Here is a 23,069-nt window from a genome sequence, read left to right as displayed (position 1 = left end):
TATTTTTAGTAGAGACAGGGTTTCGCCATGTTGGCCAGGCTGGCCTCAAACTCCTGACCTCAGGTGATCCACCCACCTTGGCCTCTCAAAGTGCTGGGATTACAGGCGTGAGCCACTCCACCCGGTCAACTATGGCAACTTCAATGGAGGAATCTTTCCAGACATTCATGATGTTCTATCGGTGTCTTCTTCCACAGCACTTAAAATCCTTTGCATAGAGTACCAAGTGCAATGAGTGTTAAAGGTCCTTATGACCCACCTGATCTAAAGGCTGAATTAGCGACGTCGCGTCTGGGGGCAAGCAGACCACTTTGACACCTTCAGTGTTGAACTGATGGGGTTCTGGGTGGCCAGGGGCATTGACCAATATCAAAAGAGCTTTAAAGGCAATCCCTTACTGGCAAGGTACTTCCTTACTCCAGAGACAAAGCACTGATGAAACCAATCCAGAAAAAAAGGTTCTCATTGTGCATGCCTTCTTGCTGTACAACCAAAAGACTGTAGCTTCATAGATAAAGGTAGTCCTGATTATTAACCCAATTGCATTTGCACAAAACCAGAGAGTCAGCCTACCCCTTCCTGCCTTAAATTCTGGTTCTTACTTCTTTTCCTTACTAATAAATATCCTTTGTGGCATTTTCTTTTCCCCAGAATAGGGCACTTTCATCTTCATTAAAAACCTGTTCAGGCAGATATCCTTTCTCCTCAGTGATTTTCCCCATGGTGTCTGGGAACCTGTCTGCTGCCTCTTGGTCAGCAGAAGCTACGTCTTCTGTTATCTTGACATTTTTCAAGTCAAACTGTCCTAAAATTATCAAACCATCCATTGCCGGCATTAACTTCTCCAGCTCTAGTTTTTTCACTTTCCTCTTGCTTTAAGTTGTCATATAATGACTTTACTTTTATTAAATCATATTTATCTATAGGTATGCTTTTCTTTTCTTTTCTTTTTTTTTTTTGAGACAGAGTTCTGCTCTTGTTGCCCAGGCTGGAGTGCAATGGCACGATCTTGGCTCACCACAACCTCTGCCTCCCAGGTTCAATCGATTCTCCTGCCTCAGCCTCCTGAGTAGCTGGGATTATAGGCATGCGCCACCACACACGGCTAATTTTGTATTTTTAGTAGAGATGGGGTTTCTCCATGTTGGTCAGGCTGGTCTCGAACTCCCGACCTCATGTGATCCGCCCGCCTCGGCCTCCCAAAGTGCCGGGATTACAGGTGTGAGCCACCGCATCCAGCCTTTTTTCTTTTATTACAACAGTCCTTATGCTGAATTCACTTATCTTGAAATGGTGAACAACCACAGCTGTGGACCTCAAACTATGTACAAACTGAGCAATTTTTCTTGTAATGTTCTAACTTTTCTCTGCCTCTTAGGGGAACTTCCAGCAACACTAGTGGCACTAGTGGGTCCCATAGTATTACTCAAGGTTTACTGTATTGCACTAAACACAATGAAAACTATACAAGAACCATGAGAGATCAATTTTTACTGTGATACACAATTAGCTGGAGAGATAAACACTCACATGGTGATGACTAGCGTCACACAACATTTTAAGCGGATACTTGCAACACTTGAGCTCACCACAATAGTAACAGGGAGTTAGTTGGCTATGAAATATTACGGTAGTACACCCAGTATGTAACAGTTAATTTTATGCAGTTATGATTTAATACTGCACCTTTATATTTGTCTACATTTCTCTCAACAGTGAATGGTGCCATGTACGGTTTGTGTGCATAAGTTTTGATAAAGTTTTAACTTTTTATAACAGATTTGTATATATTTTATGGTAGCAAATGTTAAAATAGACTAGTATCCACATATATTTTATTCATTCATAACATACCTTTTTAATTCTTTTGATATTTCTAGGCTACAGTTTATCTGTAAGATTTTACAAATTGTCACAAATCTCCAAAAAATTTTCCAATATATTTACTTTTTAAAATCCATGTATAAGCAGACCTGCGCAGTTCAAACCCAGGTTGTTCAAGGGTCAACTATATATACTTCTTAGAGACCATATGGAATAGTCGAGGAAAGACAGGAACAGCAGTTTTGTGGGTCTCATTCATTCAAGTGCGTGTTGAGTGCAAAAAATAGAAATCTAAGTCTTTCCTTCTTTAACTTTAAAACCCCACGCCAACATATTACAAAGATCCCACCTCAAACTTTAAAATCCCAAATGGAAAAGGGAATCTGAACTCCTATGACTTAAAAAAATAAAACAAGAAAAAACTCAAAAAACTGAAGCACCAGATTCCAAAGGAATCACCCACAAAAAAAAAAAAAAAAAAAAAAAACACAAAAGGGCCAGGCACAGTGGCTCATACCTGTAATCCCAGCACTTTGGGAGGCAGAGGTGAGCAGGTCACTTGAGCTCAGGAGTTCAAGACCAACCTGGACAACACAGAAAAATACCCGTCCCGGCCGGGCATGGTGGTTCATGCCAGTAATCCCAACACTTTGGGAGGCTGAGGTGGGCAGATCCCCTGAGGTCAGGAGTTCGCCAGTAATCCCAACACTTTGGGAGGCTGAGGTGGGCAGATCCCCTGAGGTCAGGAGTTCAAGGCCAACCTGGCCAACATGGTGAAACCCCGTCTCTACTAAAAATACAAAAATTAGCTGGGCGTGGTGGCACGCGTCCAGGAACTACTCAGGAGGCTGAGGCAGGAGAATTGCCTGAACCCAAAAGGCAGAGCTTGCAGTGAGCTGAGATCGCGCCACTGCACTCCAGCCTGGGCAACAAAGCGAGACTCCGTCTCAAAAAAAAAAAAAAAGTTGGGCATGGAGGCACCCATCTGTAATCCCAGCTACTCAGGAGGCTGAGGCAGGAGAATCGCTTTAACTCAGGAGGTGGAGACTGCAGTGAGCCGAGATCGTGGCACTGCCCTCCAACCTGGGCACAGAGCCAGACCCTGTCTTTAAAAAACAAAACAAAACAAACAAACAAACACAAAAAAGGGATACTAATCAGTCAAGAGAACTGCAGATTTGAGTCTCTCTACCTACTCTTACAGTATCACTTAAAAAAGACAAAGACAAATGCTCCACTGCAAACTGGTAACGGAAAGGCCCGCAAGGTTTCCATTAAAAATTCCAGTTATAAGGCCGGGCGCCGTGGCTCATGCTTGTAATCCCAACACTTTGGGAGGCCGAGGCAGGCGGATCACAAGGTCAGGAGTTCGAGACAAGCTTGGCCAATATGGTGAAACCCCGTCTCTACTAAAAATACAAAAATTAGCTGGGCATGGTGGTGGGTGCCTATAGTCCCAGCAACTTGGGAGGCCAAGGCAGGAGAATAGCTCGAACCTGGAAGGCAGAGGTTGACACTGAGCTGAGATCGCGCCATTGCACTCTAGCCTGGGCGATGGAGCAAGACTCTGTCTCAAAAAAAAAAAAAAAATTCCGGTTATAGGCGAGGTACAGTGGCTTATATCTATAATCCCAGCACTTTGGGAGGCCAAGGCAGTAGAATTGCTCCAGTCCAGGAGTTCAAGACCAGCCTGGGCAACATAGTGAGACCCTGTCTCTACTAAAAAAATTTTTTTAAATTAGCTGGGCATGGTGATGCACACTAGTCCCACCTACTAGCAAGGCTGAGATAGGAGGATCACTTGAGCCTGGGAGGTTGAGGCTACGACGAGGCATGATCTCACCACTACACTCCAACCTGGGCAGCAGGGTGAGACCCCGTCTCAAAAAAAAGAAATTCTACTTATTCAAGGAAGCAAAGTCCCTTTAACAAAAAGTAACTGGTGGCCAGGTGAGGTGGCTCACGCGTGTCATCCCAGCACTTTGGGAAGCCGAGGCAGGCAGATCACGTGAGGCTAGGAGTTCGAGACCAGCCTGGCCAACGTGGCAAAACCCTGTCTCTACTAAAAATGCAAAAATTAGCTGGGCGTGGTGGTGCACACCTGTAATCCCAGCTACTTGGGAGGTTGAGTTACAAGAATTGCTTGAACCCGGCCAGGCATGGTGGCTCACGCCTGTAATCCCAGCACTTTGGGAGACCAAGGCGGGCGAATCACGAGGTCAGGAGTTCAAGACCAGCCTCACCAACATGGTGAAACCCTGTGTCTACTAAAAATACAAAAAAAATTAGCTGGGCATAGTGGCGGGCACCTGTAATACCAGCTACATGGGAGGCTGAGGCAGGAGAATTGCTTGAACCCAGGAAGCGGAGGTTGCAGTGAGCCAAGATCACACCACTGCACTCCAGCCTGGTGACAGAGCGAAACTCTGTCTCAAAAAAAAAAAAACAAACAAAAAAAGAATTGCTTGAACCAAGGAGGTGGAGGCTGCAATGAGCCGAGATCGTGCCACTGTACTCCAACCTGGGTGACAAAGTTAGACTCCAACTCAAAAAAAAAAAAAAAAAAAGTAATCGGAGAACTATTTGAAAGACCTCTTGTTCCTGGCATCTCACCTATCAAGAACTTAAAGGTCAAGTATTTATTTATAATTCCCAGGGCCTAGTCATTTGAACAGGTTTAACAAAATACTTCACTCTGAAATGCTCCGCTTCACATTTTGTTTTTTTCCTTGTGTGTTTTTGTTTTCACAAACAGCAGAACAGGAGGCAGTCCCCCTCACCTATCCCACCTAGTTATCTAATTCATTCCCAGGTCATTGGATTGAAGTTCCTTTCTCTTCGTGTTATCTCTAAGGTAGAAGTGGGTACAGAGGAAACCATGGACAAAGCTATGCTGACCTAAACAGCTACTTCCTGCCTCACAAGAGAACCCGATGCAGTGTGGGCTGAGTGGGGAAGATGCTGTGGGGCCTGAGAAGAGGCAGGACAGAGGCTCTTACCTCAGATGCAATGTCTCAGAGCATTCACTTAAGGTTGACCACCATGGTAAGACTGTGAGGGATGGGAAGCAAGTCCCTGAAACACACCAAAGTTCTCTATGCTTTTTCAATTTGTAGCATACACAGGTATTTTGACAAAGGATGTATTACCCAGCCTCAGAAACAATGACCATCACAAGTTTCTGGCCCAAGTTAGATACAGAATGTCTCGATACAAAGTCAATCCAGAGAGCTGTGTTTAACAAGTCGGCTTCTAGGCATGACTGGCACATGAAGTACCATCTGATCACAAAGGAAGAGGTACCACTAGGAGAATGGCAGATAGTCTAAAGCATGTTGATCCCACAAACTCTCAACATTTTAATGAATATTTCCTAAGAGACTACAACATTGACAAAAAGAGGAAATTATCACCATGCTGCCTGGGAGAAAGTGACTATCAGACAAAGAAATTCAGACACACCTGTAATCCAAGCCCTTTGGGAGGCCGAGGCGGGTGGATCACCTGAGGTCAGGAGTTTGAGACCAGCCTGGCCAACAGAATAAAACACTGTTTCTACTAAAAATACAAAAATTAGCCAGGCCTGGTGGCACATGCCTGTAATCCCAGCTACATAGGAGGCTGAGGCAGAAGAATCACTTGAACCCAGGAGGCGGAGGTTGCAGTGAGCTGAGATCGCACCACTGCACTCCAGCCTAGGCAACAGAGCGAGACTCTGTCTCAAAAAAAAAAAAAGAAAGAAATTCAGAACAGAACAGTTACAGGATCAACACTAAATTCACCCTCTTTGTATACGTGATTTAACAAAATATCTCTAGATGATAAGTTTAACTACAAACAAAGCTTGTGAGAATTTGCCTAATGGTCCTAGGTTCTTTCTTCCTTTTACCTAAAGAGTTTTACCGGCTCATTTCTCGGGAGCCTCTCCAACAGTTTTGTTCAGGCCCTCCTATTTAGGAAACAAGATGCTGCTGACAAGACTTTTAAATGGAACCCTTACTCTCCCTTCCCTACCCCCTCCATTTCTTCTAGTGACGGAAATCAGCGCTCATATCAATATTCAACTGAGTCTAAGATAATTTTTCCCCTATTTGTAGTTCCATTCCTATGAATCTCTTCCACAAAAAAGTCAGACAGCAAAGGTAGAGCAAATCAAGGGGGGAAGAAGCCTCTCTTACCAGTATCTCTTACCTCTGTAGTGCTCCATTCTAGTGTGGTGGGTGATACCCTGTGATCGGAAACTGAGGCTCAGGATGTAACGAGGATCAGAACTGTCTCGTACCAGGAAAGAACCATCTGGTTTCCCTTTCAGCTTCATCTCTGCATCTTCCCAATTCATTGGCCCCCAATACCAACCACACTATCAAAGACAAGAAGCAGTCCACTAGTTATCAGGACAGAGAAATGTCAAAGTTTTCAGTGCAATCTATCTTAACATGGGAGAACCCTCTGCATTCTCTCCAAAATATTTCAATAGGTAAAAGCCACTTACAAGTGTCTCAACCATTAGCAATGAACATCAGGCTCACTATACTTTTAGCCCTCCAAAGTAACAGAATAATAATTCTGGCCGTGAGCTGTGGCTCATGCCTGTAATCCCAACACTTTGGGAGGCTGAGGCGGGTGGATCACTTGAGGTCAGGAGTTCGAGACCAGCCTGGCCAACATGGTGAAAACCCATCTCTACTAAAAATACAAAAATTAGCTGGGTTTGGTGGCACATGCCTGTAATCCCAGCTATTCAGGAGGCTGAGGCAGAAGAATCGCTTGAACCCAGGAGGTGGAGGTTGCAGTGAGCTGGTATTGCGCCACTGTACTCCAGCCTGGGTTACACAGTGAGACTCTGTGTCAAAAAAACAAAAAACAAAAAACAAAATGGCTGGGCGCAGTGGTTCACACCTGTAATCCCAGCACTTTGGGAGGCCAAGGCAGGTGGCTCACCTGAGGTCAGGAGTTCAAGACCAGCCTGGCCAACATGGTGAAACCCCATTTCTACTAAAAATACAGTAATTAGCTGGGCATGGTGGTGGGCGCCTGTAATACCAGCTACTCAGGAGACTGAGGCAGGAGAATTGCTTGAACCCAGGAGGCGGAGTTTTCAGTAAGCCGAGATTGCGCCACTGCACTCCAGCCTGGGCAACAAGAGCGAAACTCAGTCTCAAAAACAAAACAAGACAACAACAACAACAAAAAACAAAGAATAATAATTCTACAATTTTGTTACCAAAGACCCTACCAAGAAAAGAAGAGGGAACTGGGTCAGTTAATCTATCAAAATCAGCTTAGACTATGTAAAACATTTCTCCAACAACCTTTATCATGTCCAAATTTTTTCCCCAAATTCAATTTTATTACATCTCATGGAACTAATAGCAGGAGCACACTGTTTTGTCACTGTAAATATGGAAGCAAGTAAACTATTCTTCCTCTGAAAACAATAAACAGGGGCTGGGTGTGGTGGCTTACGCCTATAATCCTAGAGCTTTGGGAGGCAGAGGCAAGAGGATCACGTTGAGCCCAGGAGTTCAAGACCAGCCTGGGAAACTGCAAGACCAGTCTCTACAAAAAATATAAATAAATTTTAGCTGGGCTTGGTCGTGCATGCCTGCAGTCCTAGCTACTCAGGAGGCTGAGGCAGAAGGATCCTTTGGCCCAGGAGTTTGAGCCTACAGTGAGCTATGATTATGCCACCACACCCTAGCCTGGGCAACAGAGCCAGACCCTGTCTCTAAAAATAAATAAACACATAAATAAAGGTGTGTCCGAATACAGAATTTAGCTAATGGGAGGAGAAGTGACCTGCCAGTCCTTAGGTACCACCTACCTTCTCCAACTCTCGAAGGCTGGCTGCAAAGCTGCTCGAGTCAGGCCGGTAGAGGGGACACTGGAGGTGCTGTGGGGGTTGGCTGTGCAGGGATTCAGCTGCTCGGATGGGAGCAATCCGGGGAAATGCATCTGCAGGGCAAGACAGTGGTGGTCACTTGTTTACCCTCACTGCTCCCAACCACAAATAGACCCTCCCCCAAAAACAGAGGATGCTAACTGAAGAGGGCAAGGCATTAGAAGCTAAGCTGGAAAGGGTAGAAGCCAAAGCAGTGGCAAAGAGCTGGATGGGCTGGAACAAAAAGCTGTGTGGGCTTGTGTAAGCTGTGAAGGATGGGTGGGGGCACTTGACCCCAAGAAAGGGGGAGGGGAGCTGCTCACTAACCTTACTAAGGTGACTACTTCAGGGGCTTCACCAGCCTAGAGCGATTCCAACTTCTCCCACCTCGAAGTGAAGTGCCGATAAGGCAGCCTTGGAAATAGTGACTCGCTTACTTGCCCAGGAAGAGTAATGATTTTGCCAGGCAAGTAGAAAAGAATGCTGATTTCATTCATTTTATTCCTTGGGTACTGTAAGCTGGCAAAGCAGGTATGGGCTGCTAAATGCTTGGTACTTATTTACAAGGCTGCAGTAAATACTAAAAGCTTAGAAAAACCATAGAATGCTGAAAACCACCAACATATTAAACCTCACTATCCTGAAATTAAGGCAGTTTCTTAAGTGATATCTACTCAAGGATTGCAAAACAGTCTCAGCAGCAAAGACTGATGAAAAATTCAGTAGTCTTTCATCCCTAACAAAAATCAGATTGACCTCCATAAAGAAAACGGGTTAGGAAAACCAGTTCTCCGCCTCATTTCTAAGGAGTCTGGTCCAGCCAAGGGGAAAAGATTTAAACTTTCTACTAAGCTGTTATTTCCATAAATAGATTTCTCCCATCCTTCTATGGTAGAAAGTATCACTTTGTACTCCCAACTCTTACAAGTCTTGCCTCTAAACTAAGCTAACCTGGGGCATGGGGTGGAGGAGGCGGAGGTAGGGGGAAAGACTGCAAGGAAGACCCCATCGGAGCCACAAGGACAGATGTAGGCAGCGTCCCACTGATATCATCTAGAAGAGAGAACAAAAGCAAGAGGTTCAGAAATGTGAGCACAGAATGAGCACGCTGAAGGCAGAGGAGAGGGAGAAGGACTATCAGGCTGCCCTCTGGGGCAGGATGGCCCAACCTTCACCCAGTCTTTTTGCACAGAGGGCAACAATCATCTTACTCTGTTTTGCTTTTGGAAAGCAGGGTAGTAAGGATATTCCTAATGCAGCCCAATAGCAGTGGGTTCAAGGCAAGATAAATGTAAACTGAATTAATATATGTATAGTAAGTATTACAGCATGCGGGTGAGACCCATTTAATTGCTTAGGGAGATGACGGGGTGCTGAGAAAGAGCTGGGAAATAATTGAGTCATCATCGGAAACCCAGAAGCGTGGTCGGCCCCCAGCAAAGAACAAGTCCCTGGAGCTCACCCTCCCACTAGGCAAGAAGGTGGAGAGGGGAAGAAACTATACCTAGGAGGCTGAGGCTTCTTCTCGGAGGAGGAGGGGGAGTTGGAGGGTGTGGAGAGGTCAGGCCCCGCTGAGAAATGTCCACATCCACAAGCGACACAGTTTCACCTGAGGGATTCATGGAGCAAGCAAGTTACAGAAGCGCCTTGCCCAAAGCTGATGCAGAAAGCAAAGGGAAGCAAAGGGCAAGCAGGCGAGGCTGGGGGTCTGCTGCTCTCAGAAAGCTCAAAACCTAATGCCCCCAGGGCTGAAATCACCCCAACACCAGGAAGTCAATTTTTAAATTCTATCATTCCTTTGCCCTGTTAAGGGTCAAGGATTCTTTAGGACAAAACCATGGGACTGACAGTGGAAAAACCATCTAATTCTGGTTCCGCCACTGACTTACAACGTACCCTCAAACAAGGGGTCTTCTTTATCCAATAGAACCCATACCATTTATTTTTTCAGAATTGTGTATCAATTTCTGCCTTAGGAAGCAAGCCAAGTGGCTTGTTATATGCCCAAACAGACATGGAAAGCAAGGGCCAGAAAACCTAAGAACTGTACGGTAAGCTGAATGCAGATAAAGTTCCCAATGTTAGTCCTAACTTCTTCCTAGAGGGCAGTCCATATCTTGATTTTCCAGAGTATTCACACATAAGAGAATCTACCTGAATAAGATATCTGTTCTTAACAGCTGAGGCTACAAAGGCTGAAAGTACAATTTATAGTCCTAAAAATTAACTACTTTCACAGTCAGACAAAAGTCAGGTAATCTAAGAGGCAGCTTCTCCATAGGAACTTGGTGGGAGGAGGCACATGGCCTCTCTTCTTCCCAGCATGTCATGCAGTTCTGTTCCCTGCCATATACAATACTCCTTGCCACCCAACTCTGTCTATTCCCTCTCCACTTGAGTCACGAGAGGATGAAAGGTATTTTATTAATATGAACACAAGCTGATAGCCAGGAATACGGTTATTTTGGCAGGCCTGATGCACAAGTCAGAACTCAGGATTTCTCTAATTTAGCCCTTACGGTGTTCCTTCCAACACCTTTTTTTTTAATTCAGGGCTGAATGAGCCCCTCAGCTAGTATTTTAAATGTTTCCCCGTTAAGAAAATGAGGTGACCAATATCTACCAAAGGAAACTGGGCTTTCAGAACCTAAATACACAGTTTTTTTACAAAGCTCTTGAATACTAATTAAGATAAACAGAAAAGCTCTTCTAAAAGTCATCAGTGAGACCAGGTGCAGTGGGTCACACCTGTAATTCCAACACTTTGGGAGGCCAAGGTAGGCGAATCACTTGCACTCAGGAGTTCAAGACCAGCCTGGGCAACACGTTAAGACCCCGTCTCTACAAAAATATAAAAATTATTCAGGTATGGTGGTGCATGCCTATAGTCCCAGCTATTCTGGAGGCTGAGGTGGGAGGATCGTTTGGGCCTAGGAGGTCGAGGCTGCAGTAAGCTGAGACTGCACCATTGCACTCCAGCCTGGGAGACAAAGTGAGGCCCTGTGTCAAAAATAAACAAAAGCCATCAGTGGAAGTTCTAGAAAGCTGGTACCAGACTCACCATACAGCTTGGTAACTGAAAGCCTGGCTGCCCAGAGCAATGCGATGGAGCCAGACAAGTGTATTTCCTGACAGGCCAGAGCAGTCTAGACTATTGGTAGAGCACTTAACATAAAGGACGTCATTCAAGAGGGCTGAGGCTGACCTGAACCTCAAACTACAAATGTAGGTGGTGTTCCTTTTTTTTTTTTGAGACAGAGGCTCAGTCGCTCAGGCTGGAGTGCAGTGGCAAAATCTCTGCTTACTGCAACCTCAGCCTCTCGGGTTCAAGCGATTCTCCTGCCTCGGCCTCCCGAGTAGCTGGACTACAGGCGTGCGGCACCATGCCCCAGCTAATTTTTTGTATTTTTAGTAGAGACGGGGTTTCACACCATGTTGGCCAGGCTGGTCTGAAACACCTGACCTCAGATGATCTGCTCACTTCAACCTCCCAAAGTGCTGGGATTATAGGCATGAGCCACCGTGACCGTGACCAAGCCATGTTCCTTACTTTAATGAGGAAACAACTATTAACTAGAAAGACATGGTATCGCAAGATAAGATTTTTTAATTCTGGGCTTGGGTAAGAACAGAGACCTCCTTCTCCACTACAGTAGATGCCTATACAGGTACCAATTCACTTGTTTTGACAGTTCACAGCAGTCTACCCAGCTGCAAGTCTCATTGGCCTGCTTAACATTTTCCTGGAAGCATCCATTCCCAAATCGTAAGTCTTCCAATCACCTTTTTGAGGGACATGATATCCAAAGGAGTTTGAGATTGGGATTTTTTTTAAAGGCTTCTCAGTCACAACCAATGAGAAGTACTCAGTTTCTGAGACATGGGCAAAGCCCCACTTTTCTCCAGCTTATTCATGCAGGAGCTTCACCTGTGACTGACATAACAGAAGGTCTCCCTCTCTGAAAAAGCTCCCTACGAAACGAGAAGGCAGTTACCCATCATCCAAAGGAGATTCTACAGCCTTCCTAGTTTAGCAACTGTGTTCCCTGCTGCAAGAGGGCAGACTTAAATTAGATACAATAAAGAAGTCTAACAGCTGCAGGAACTGCAAGCCCCTAAAAAGACAAGAGCTCATGTAATCCCCTTTGCCCAAAAAAGTCTTTAAAAATAGACCAGATAATCATGGATCATTTTTATGAGATAACCCATGAACTCCCTTGGAAGCAGAGACAGAAATTGTATGACTTCTAGAGAGTCTTTTATGCACTGTGAGCCCATAAATTTGTAATTCCTAGTTTTAATTTATATGTGATGACCCTGAACTAAGCACTGCATAACTGCTAGGGCCACCCAGGCCACCTAATTACCAACAAGCAGCCTTTACCTCCAACTATAAAGCATCCAAAGTCAAGAACACATTCCATACCATAAAAATAGCCTCACCCCAAACCCACTAAGCATGGAATGAAGGAAATAACTGCAGACACGCCTACAGCTCCCTGTGATGCATCTGTAAGTGTTTCCCAACAGGTCTCAGAACGCCCCTGTTTTCAGATGTCAGAAGAGAGAAAGATATTACCCTTACCTGTGAACAGGGGGCTGAAGGAGACCGGAGAAAAGGCACTTTGAGTTCTTGTCAACTTGGGTTTCCTAGGGAGTGAGAAAGCAGAGAGAGAATAGAGGGGAGAAATGAACACATATGCATTTAAGTCACCACAACACTCAGTTCCAGATGCACTGAGAAATAAAGCAAACCCTAGTCGTTGTCAGCAACACTCTTGTAATACAGCATAAAATAAAGGGGGAGAATGAAATAATTAAGGCAATTCCTTAAATAGATTTGGCTACAGAATTCACCAACCTACAAAGCAATGAGAAATCCCTTTGGAGCTCACCATACCCAGTACATTAAAAGAGTAAAACACCTTGAGTGGTAATTAGCAAGTCCATTTCAAGAGGAAGGAAGTCTGATGCAGAGCTAATTTCCATCTGGGAGCCAAGAAAAGGGCTCTTAACCTGGACAGGCACCAGCTCAGAGCAAAGTTTCCCTCTGGGCTTGCCTATAGGATAGGTCATCCCAAAGTGAACCAAGGAACAGATTCTGACCTGAGAATAGCACTGCAGGATGCATGTGCAGTCTTCAACCTTGAAGACCTCTGATTTCTGCACAATTGCCCCAAGGCATGGGTCAAAGCCATCAGCTACTAAGTGGGCCTCCTCAGATTAGGGGCTCTGCCTAGCATCCAAGAGGGCCCATTCGTCTCTCTGAGCTGCCACTCACACAGCCCTCCCCATGACTTCTTGATGCTGTTTCAGGGAACCAGTCTGAAAACCCAGATCTTTTGGTTAATATACCAAAGATAACTTCACTTCTTACCACACTTTCAAGTGGCTTTTCAGCAAGAAATGAAAGAAACTCAAAAGACTCCAACAAAGACATTACGGCCAGAAGTGTGTTAAACCAAAAAAACTCACCTCAGAATTACTGAACTTGTCGAGGTAATAGAAATATGTTATATGCTGGCCGGGTGCGGTGGCTCATGCCTGTAATCCCAGCACTTTGGGAGGCCAAGGCAGGCGGATCACAAGGTCAGGAGATCAAGACCATCCTGGCTAACACGGTGAAACCCTGTCTCTGCTAAAAATACAAAAAATTAGCCGGGTGTGGTGGCGGGTGCCTGTAGTCCCAGTTACTCGGGAGGCTGAGGCAGGAGAACGGCGTGAACCCAGGAGGCGGAGCTTGCAGTGAGCCAAGATCGCACTACTGCACTCCAGCCTGGGCGACAGAGCGAGACTCCGTCTCAAAATAAAGTAAAATAAAATAAAAAATAAAAATAAAAAAATAAAAAAAAAGAAATATGCCATATGCTGGCTGGGCACAGTGGCTCACTCCTGTAATCCCAACACTTTGGGAGGCCAAGGTGGGCAGATCACAAGGTCAGGAGCCCGAGACCAGCCTGGCAAACATGGTGAAACTCCATCTCTACTAAACAAAAATTAGCTGGGCATGGTGGCATGCACCTGTAATCCCAGCTACTCAGGAGGCTGAGGTAGGAGAATTTCCTGAGCCCGGGAGGTGAAGGTTGCAGTGAACCAAGATCACACCACTGCACTCCAGCCTGGGTGACAGAGTGAGACTCCATCCCCAAAAAAAAAAAAAGAAAAAGAAATATGTTACATGCTGATTATGGTAGAAGTTATGATGACTATATATAAATTTGTCAAAATTAATAGAGCTGGACACTTAAAAGGGTAAATTTTGCGGTATATAAATTATACCTCAGGCCCGGTGCGATGGCTCACACCTGTAATCCCAACACTTTGAGAGGCTGAGGTGGGCAGATTGCTTGAGCCCAGGAGTTCGTGACCAGCCTGGGCAACATGATGAAACCTCGTCTCTACAAAAAATATAAAAATTAGCTGGGCGTGGTGGTGCACACCTCTAGTCCCAGTTACTCAGGAGTGTGAGATGGGAGGGTCACCTGAACCTGGGAAGGTCAAGGCTGCAGTGAGCCATGATTGAGCCACTGCATTCCAGCCTGGGTGACAGAGACCTTGTCTCAAAAAAAAATTTTTTTTAATTAAAAATTTTTTTAAAAAAATAATATATATATATATATAACAGTAAAACAGACTTAAAGAAAATCCTACCGCAGAATTGAGTGCCTGTCTCCTAGCATTATAGCTGGCTCACCTTCCAAAAATACTCTTACCCAAAGGTCTAAATAGAACTTAAACTCTTTTCAACTATAAACTGCACCAATAGAGAGGGGCAAAAGCAAAGAAAATCCAAAATGAAATTCTATTTTAAATTATTTGACTTCAGAAGATATTTATGCATTTATGTTTTAACACTGATGTCTGAGCTTCTCAGAATTCACCTCAAACAAAATTCTAAAACCATACCATGAAGATCTTATTCAGAAAGAGCTGAAACCCTGGTCCGTCTTTCTCCTGACCTAGCTTTACATTCCCTTGGCAACCTCTTCCATACTTGAGGGTTCTGATGATCACGCTCACTATGAATATTCCACCCACAGCACCCACAGGAGAGGTGGCTACATAAAAATAAGATATGGCCACACAGTTTCTCCGCTCATAAAAGTGGCTCATGACTGCAGCTTAGTTCCAAAAATCCAGAGGAATGGAATGCAATGTTAATTCCACTGGACATGAACTTTAGGACTGCTGAAGAGCTTCCAAGCTGATTTTTATTTGATAACTTGTGGGTACAACATTAAACCCAGCAAGTAGAAACCTGAAGCACTGGCCTTTCAAAAGGTTCACACCTCAGCCATTTGGCCGTTTGCCTCTTTTCAAAGGAAGCTGCATTACTCTGCCATCTGCCCATGCTGGGGACGAGTCTCTTCAGTGCCAAGCACTGAAGAACGGCAGGACCCAAATGCACACATCTTGCGGAGGCCTTCTCACTTCAGCTCATCTTCTCCCCCACCCCCGGCATTTTGAAGAAGAAAAATCATAGTTTCTAGGATCTAGAAAAAGAAAAACATCTGAATCCAGGGAGAGCTGTTCGAGAGTGCCAGAATGGTTTTTCCTGGCAAATAAGGGGGCCTCATGGCTGGATGCTTGGAAAGGTAAAAGGTCTAAAGTCTAGGAGGCTAAAAGGCTACTAATAAATATGCATGCTTCTTTCTCTCTTTGGGGAGACAAGCCTAACTACAAACCCAAAGCAGTATCTGTCTCAAGGATCCTGAGAGCATTCTAATGGCAGTCATTCATGAAAAAACCAATCTAGATGACAATAAAAAAAAAAAAACAACAACAAAGCAAGATACTAATACATAAAATTGAGGATGGTGGTTACCTGGGGGAGGGGTAAGATGTAATTAGAAAGCAACACTCTTCAAAGGTACTGATAACATTCTATTTGTTAAGTTTAGTGATGGGTACCTACATTTGTATTTTATTATTATTCAAAGACATACACTTTATATATCCCCTTTTGTATACATGAACCATTTGGAATGATAAAAGGCCATTCTAAGCTGACACACTATATTTTGGAGAGCAATATGAATAAAGGAATTTCAGATAACATTTTAAACTAACCCTCTATACTACATTCCCATGTTATTTATTCTTCCCCAGATCACCTCAAAAAGCATTAGGGTGCAAAGTTATACCCCTCTAACTTTGCCAGTAGACCACTTTCATCTTAGCAGCAACAAAGACTGGAGGAGTAGGGTGGGAAAGAATAGCATTTGGTGGGCTGTGCTTCAGGTGACAGAAAAGGACAGGGCAGCAGGCCTTAGGCAAAGGTCTTTGAGGCCAGCAGTCCTTTGTGTCAGCTAAATTACTGCCTATGCTGTAGGTAACAAAAAAACAGGATGCCTCTGTCCATTTCTACCCTGCAAATTATTAACTGTACTGCAACAGATTTATGGGATAAAGGAGTTAAAAGCATTAGACTAGACAGAACAACAACACATAGATGTAACCATTGGCTGGTTTTCAAATTCCTTGAAACCTAAAATAAAAACAATGAAAGAATAATAACCTATCTTGCCCATAAATCTCCTGTACTGATGCCCTAAGATTTACACATGTCCTTTTCTAAAGTAACTTCCAAACTAGGATGTCCAAATACCAGATTTTATGGCTCCAATGTACCTCTGCCCCTGCTAAAGCACACGGTGCCAAGTCAGCCAGCCTGTGCCATTTCCAACACGTCATAAGCCAGTGTCTGTTCATGTGCTACAGGCACAAAAACCATGTGTTCATTTTTAGTTCCAATACACAGACATCTGTGCAGCAAGGTCAGATCCAAAACTCCATCATAAACCAACTAAAGAACCTATAGAGGGAACTTCCAGGGAAAAGCCAAGAGGCATGGTCCAAGGTCTAAAACCTTAGAAATGATGTTGGCAGAGAGAATGTTAAGGAGTGAGAAGCACTGCACAGGACTCAAATGGACAGAGATTTTTTTTTAAGCCCAGGAGTTCGTTCTAAAGGAGAGCTGCCAACCACAACCACTTCATGGAAAAAATAGTTAAAAAGATCAACAGTGTGTGGACCCAAAACCCAAACATAAAATCAGAACTTCCTCGCCACACCATAAAATCATTTTGCTCTCAGCATGTCATGCTATTACTCAAAAAGATCCCTTTAGACCTGAAGACCCAAGGATACAGTGAAAAAAGTTTCTCACGTCTGCCAGGCCTGTCCACGACAGCAGGGCCCCAAATGGATGCCAAAGCAGCCTGCCTCTCTTTCCAGAATTCTATATTTTGTTTTTTTCCCCCCCAAATAAATAGATAGGAAACCACTACAGAACCGTCCTCCATTTCTCCACCTCACTACCATGAAGACAGCCAGTAATAGCCTCATCTGTTAACTTGGTAAAAAACAAATCTTGAAAAGTGAACAAGGTACCTATTTCCAACCAAGTGTGTATTACGTGATGATTCAAAATGGTCAGATCAAATTAGATCTCTCACCAAATCCAAAGGAAGGCAATCAACTCAACATATGAGAAACAGACATGGGAACTCCACTGGTTTTCCTGAAATAGCAATGCTAGATTACACTGAGGACCACAGGCATCAAGCCCAGCTCTTTGAATTCCAACATATGTGTGTTATAAGCCCTAGCCCAGTTCCCCAGAACAGAAACCTGATTAGTTGCTGGGCCCATTTCTTTCTTTCTTTCTTTCTTTCTTTTTAAAGAGATGGAGTCAGCTGGGCGTGGTGGCTCACGCCTGTAATCCCAGCACTTTGGGAGACTGCGGTGGGCGGACTGCCTGAGCTCAGGAGTTCGAGACCAGCCTGGGCAACACAGTGAAACGCCGTCTCTACTAAAATACAAAAAATTAGCCAGGCGTGGTGGCGTGTACCTGTAGTCCCAGCTATTCGGGAGAATGGCTTGAACCTGGGAGGCGGAGGTTGTAGTGAGCCAAGATCGGGCCACTGCACTCCAGCATGGGCAACAGAGTGAGACTCCATCCCCCCGGCCCCAAAAAAAAGATGGAGTCTGGCTCTGTTGCCCAGGCTGGAATGCAGTGGCACATCATAGCTTACTGTGCCCTTGAACTTCCTGGGCACAAGTAATCCTCCTGCCTCTGCCTTCCAAGTATTGGGACTACAGGTGCACACTACCACACCCAACTGGTGGGCCCATTTCTTACCTCACTTAAAAACAGTTATCTAAGTTGGCCAGACTTGGTGGCTTATGACTGTAATCCCAGCACTTTGGGAGGCCAAGGCAGGCAGATCACCTGAGGTCAGGAGTTCGGGACCAACCTGGCAAACATGGCAAAACCCCAGCTCTACTAAAAATAAAAAATAAAAAAATGAGCCGGGTGTGGTGGTGGGCCCCTGTAATCCCAGCTACTGGGGAGGCTGAAGCAGAAGAATCGCTTGAACCCGGGAAGCAGAGGTTGCAGTAAGCCAAGATCGCACCACTGCACTCCAGCCTGGGCGACAGAGCAAGACTCCACCTCAAAACAAAAAACAAAACAAAAAGACTTCTCTAAGCTAACTCATACCACACTGAAGACAATATATCCAGGTAGGTCCACTTACCAGACTCAAAAGCAACTAAAAGGAAGTTTTGCTTAGTGCTAAAATGTGGGAATTGTTAAACCTTCTAAAATGATTGTAGGAAGGCAGATGTTGGGAATAGCAAAGGGAATTATGCCCAGAGGTTACTGCAAAAGCCCCAAATTATACAGCAAAGACTATAGAAGCCCATAATTAACTCCAATCAACAATGAGGACAAAGGCATATACCCTTTGGCAAAAGACTGAAATTTCTCACCATTTCCAGGTCCTACCAATCAAAACAAGAGAACAAGCTAAAAATCCAAACTCATCCTCCCACTATTGCGGACTTAGGAGGTGCAGATCCACAGAAATCACAACTACCCTGGCCAGACTCACCAAGTTTCTCACAGCTGCGAGGCTGCCAGCAAGACTGGCACATAGTAAGCTGTCGAAAAGCTCACAAGCAGCACCAAATCCTAAGCATTAAAAAATTTACCAGCTCAGTCCTATTACTTATCTTCTAAAAAGCACAAAATATTCCATCTAGATTTCTCTTCTCAACAATCTACTCTTATAAGGACAGGAACAAGACAGTCAACGCTCACCCATTTTACAGATGGGGGAAAAAGGGAAGCATGAAGGTGACAAATTTGGTCATCTCCTAGCTGATGTTGGAGTTTACACGGAATCTAGACTTTCACATTCTCTATACAGCATGCTGCCTCCAAACAGCAGTCAACCAAACGTTTATACACAAATAACTAGCTCTTCTCCAATTCATCAAAAAAAGCCCTTGGACCAAAAAATGTAATTCTCCAGTGCCCTGAACTAAGCTTCTTTGCAAAGCTACAGCCCAATTTGCTCTGCAGCAGAAATCTGTATTGTGCTTAGTGTGAGGGTTGGTGACAGAGCAGCCAATGACCATTAAATTCTGCTTCCAAAGGCAAAAAACCGTATAATGTCATATGCCTTTTCCTCTTCCTAATCTATTAGACGTAGCAGCTAATTTCACGCCACACCTCGTATTTGGCGTCTCTGGAATCTCAGACGAACTCCTGGTCAATATGGAACAAAGGCAAGACAAACCACAAGAAAATTAGCAATCTATCCTATGTCATTACCCATAGCTTTAATCCCGCCCTCCCCTGCATCTGATGAAAATTTCATCTGTGCTGGTAAGTGGAGCATCGAATACAGAGCCTACCACAAAAAAAGCTGTTTCAGCAGCCACCCACTTTTCAAGATCTGAACTCCCAGCATGAATTCACTGGGAGGCAAAGCAGAAACACTGGCCTACCTAAAGGGACAACACACTGATTTCTTTAGAAAGTTTGGATTTGGCCTCATCCCCAAGATAAGCCCATGGCACAGCTGTTCAGAAAGGGCAAGAAAGCCAAATCCACCCAACATTTTCTTGTTGGAGTACCCAAGTTCCCTTGAAAACAGAAGTCTATGGATGAGTGGTTCCCAGTTCAGGATCAACTGGGGAGCTTTTAAAAAGTTCAAACTCTTAGGCTTTTCAAAAAGCTCCCCAAGTGATCTTAGTTCACAGTAAGGTTATCAATTTATACCTGTTCTTTAGCTTTGGTTTATGGCTGCCAGTATGTCTCAAGAATCCATCACGTAAACCACAACAAAACCCATTCCAATCTTTCTGAGAACCCAAAGAAGTACAAACCACAATGGCAGTTACTACAAGGTAACTAATTTCACTGACACCAAAGTTGACAGCTTTGTAAACCAACGCTACAGATGTAACACTGGATGCCGAAGATCAGTCCACCCCTCAGAAATGCAGGAAAAAAACTCAACGTCTATGTTTGGAATTTTCATCAATCGGCCTAGAACTCATGTACCTGTCTCTACCTTGTCTATATCTTACTGGTACTTAGAATTCTCAAAAGGCTTTGAGAGAGCGCAAAGCTATTTTCTCGAGACAGGCTCTCACTCTGTCACGCAAGCTGGAGTGCAGTGGCACGATCACTATTCACTGCAACCTCCGCCTCCTGGGCTCAAGTGATCCTCCTGCCTCAGCCTCCCGAGTAGCTGGGACCACTCCCGCCTAATTTTTTGTATTTTTTTCGTAGAGATGGGGGCTAATTTTTTGTTTGTTTGTTTTGTAGAGATGGGGTTTCGCATGTTGCCCAGGCTGGTCTCAAACTCCTGAGCTCAGGTGATCCGCCCTCCTCGGCCTCCCAAAGTGCTGGGATTACAGGTGTGAGCCACTGTGCCCGGTCTGCTATTTTCTATTCTCAGAGACAGTGGTCAGCACCCAAGTTTGATATGCCAAGTTCATCTAAGGGAACAACCAGGAAAACAGTAAAACTTTGAATAGAGGTGTCCAATTGATTGCTGGCCTACAATTGCATTTGAAGATTCTCCTGTCATTTGCATGCATGAGTGTGAAGGGAGGTGCGGTGCTGGTACACAGAATAAGCAAGGCGGTCAAGGTGCAACACCAGCTTTTTGCCCCAAAGGCCAAACACTTCCAGCAATCTCCCTTCCAGGGACAATGGCACACAGCCGCCTTGGAAAAACTTAAAAAGCCATGCCAGGATGGGGATGGGAGGATGGTCTGAAACCATCTTCCAACAAGACAGATGCAAACCAGCTGAGAAGTGTCACGGAGTGTGCACTCTTTAAGAGTGAAAGCTGTTTCCACAATTAGCGCTGACCTTATGCGAGATGTTACCACCTTTGGTCCCAAGTCTCTGCCTCCTCCTGAAGACCCTATCTTAAGAACTGTCAGGATCGCGATAGCAATAGATAAAAAGGGAAACCAAACAAGAAAAGGAAGTTTGTCGGCCAGCCCCCGGCCGGTCTCACCTCCCCGCGTCCAGCTCCCGGCCCGCAGAGCCTCCCATGTCTGTCAGGCTCGCAGCTGAAGCAGCCAGCTCTCCAGAAGGCCTCTTGCCGGTCCCATCCCCACCGCCGGAGCCACCGTTGCAGCTCTTGGTGCGAAAGAGGCGACTGAGGCGGATTTTGAAGGAGCCCTTCCGAGAAGGACCCGCGAGTGGCCGGAGGGGCCCGGGAGGAGGCGGGGGCGGGGGAGGTTGCTGCTGCTGCTGCTGCTGCTGCTCCCCTCTACTCAGGCGCCCCAGAGGGACCAAGTCCTGCAGCGGGAAGGGCACCGGAGGTAATTCAGGGCCTGGGGGCTGCAGCAGAAGCCGGCCGCCCCCTCCTCCTCCGCGACCCGGGCTGCTGAGCTCCTCTTCCGAGCAGCTGTTAGTCTCCAGGCTCTCGGCCTCCGATTCCAAGCCCTCCAGGACCAGCAGCGCGTCGCTCGTTTCCGTGGGGTCCTCCCCGGCCTGCGGGGCGGCAGCAGGCGGCTGGGGCTGCGGAGGGGGCGGCTGAGGAGGACACGGACACGGGCAGCAACCCCCACCGACTGTCTTGACCCCCGGCCCCGCCGGCTGCCCGAGCCCCAGAGCCGCCAACTGCGCCTCTAGTCCAGCCGCCGGGCCCCAGGTCCGCTCGAGCGCCAAGCCCGGCGGCAGGGCCTTGGGGTCCAGGGCACAGCGGTGCCGGGGACACAGCAGTTCCGAGGGTCCCGGCTCCGGGGCCGCCTCCACGTCCTCCTCCTCCGGCGGCCGACCCACGTTGCGGAACACCATCAGCTGCGGCGGCCGGGAGCCCCGCGGGCCGGGCCGCGCGAGGAAGGGTGGCGGCGGGGGGCCATGGCCCGGGGGCGGTGGCGGAGGGCCTGGCTCGGGGGCCGCCTCTCCATAGCCAAGGAGGCGGCTCAGGACGCGGTACGAAGCGGCCGCCGCCGCCGCCTCGCCATCCCGGAGCTCGGCCTCCTGCATCGGGGAGAGGGAGGGAGGGCGGGCGGCTGGGAGCCGGGCTGGGGTGGGGACTAGGCCGGGCCCCGCCGGAGCCCCGCCCGCCGCGGCCCCCGGAGCGACAGCGCTAACGGCCGCCGCGGCCTCTGCCTCATAGAGGGGGGCGGGGGGCGCGCGGAGCCCAGCGCGAGCCCAGGCCGCGCTCCGCCACCGCCGAGCACCGCCCCCAAGCCGACGTCACTTCCGGAAGGGCTTAGCCACGCCACTTTCCCCAGGGCGTGCTCGCGCTGGCCTCCACGGCGAGTGACGCCGCGCGCGCCCCCGGCCCCTATTGGCGGTGAGCTGTCTGTTGGCTGGCGTTGGTCTCTTTTCCCGGTCCTTGCTTTTCACTTCCTGGGCGCCCAGGCCCAGGCCATCCCATTCGGTAGAGTGGAGAGGCCTTGGAAACCATGGTCTGGTCCTGGGAGCGCGCCGCTGGCCTTGGGAGCACATATGGTTCTGCCATCTACGCCGCTTGCGATGTGTGACCTTGGCTGAGTCATTTCATCATTAATCTGTATCTCCGTCCGCCTGGCACCCAGTGAATGTTTGTGGAATCAGTACATGAATCGTGTTCTAGACCCAGTGCTGTACTGATAAATGTGTAACAACCAGCTCTCTGGGGGGAGAACGGGAATGTATGCACATATATAGGTACAAAAATTTGTCGTTAAGTTTTACTGACATAAAGGATGTGTAGTTCACAATTTACAATTAATAGTAAATTGGCAAATTCCATATAACTCTTTCTCACAGAATGCTTTCATTGATTTTTGCCAAACTCTTATATGGGTAGCCAAACTGTGATTGCAGTTGACCTAGGAGTGTAATTGTAAAGGTGAATGTTGGTTGATAAAACTGAAAAAGACAAAACTTAATTGGATTGTCAATGATGGGAGCAACTTCTTTGCTGAGTCAGAAAACGGTTTCAAATACTGGAAGAATATTTACTCAATTTTTGTGCTATTCATAATGTAACGGCTACAGACAACACATTAAGTTTTTGCTGTTGTTGAGATGGAATCTTTCTCTATTGCCCAG

At 46.3% G+C, this 23,069-nt stretch overlaps 1 protein-coding gene across 4 annotated transcripts in view; it reads right to left on the bottom strand.

Moving 5' to 3' along the window:
* SOCS7 (suppressor of cytokine signaling 7) overlaps positions 1–22,222 on the bottom strand; it is a 53,750-nt gene extending 31,528 nt beyond the window's left edge. Inside the window, exons 1-6 of one of the 4 annotated variants that reach the window (NM_014598.4) lie at positions 21,034–22,222; positions 12,291–12,355; positions 9,210–9,314; positions 8,657–8,758; positions 7,649–7,779; positions 6,016–6,184 (exon numbers count right to left, since the gene is read on the bottom strand). In NM_014598.4, the coding sequence (NP_055413.2) occupies positions 6,016–6,184; positions 7,649–7,779; positions 8,657–8,758; positions 9,210–9,314; positions 12,291–12,355; positions 21,034–22,013 (1,552 nt within the window). In that variant the 5' untranslated portion in view covers positions 22,014–22,222. Of the gene's footprint in view, positions 1–6,015; positions 6,185–7,648; positions 7,780–8,032; positions 8,225–8,656; positions 8,759–9,209; positions 9,315–12,290; positions 12,356–21,033 lie in introns of those variants that run through there. The other 3 variants (XR_007065295.1, XM_017024551.2, XM_017024552.2) reach the window with 3 other exon arrangements.
* Positions 22,223–23,069: the final 847 nt, after the last annotated feature.

This window comes from Homo sapiens, chromosome 17, assembly GCF_000001405.40.
Source record: "Homo sapiens chromosome 17, GRCh38.p14 Primary Assembly".
In the NCBI taxonomy this organism is placed as follows: domain Eukaryota; kingdom Metazoa; phylum Chordata; class Mammalia; order Primates; family Hominidae; genus Homo; species Homo sapiens.
This window is presented reverse-complemented; position numbering and strand designations above follow the sequence as displayed.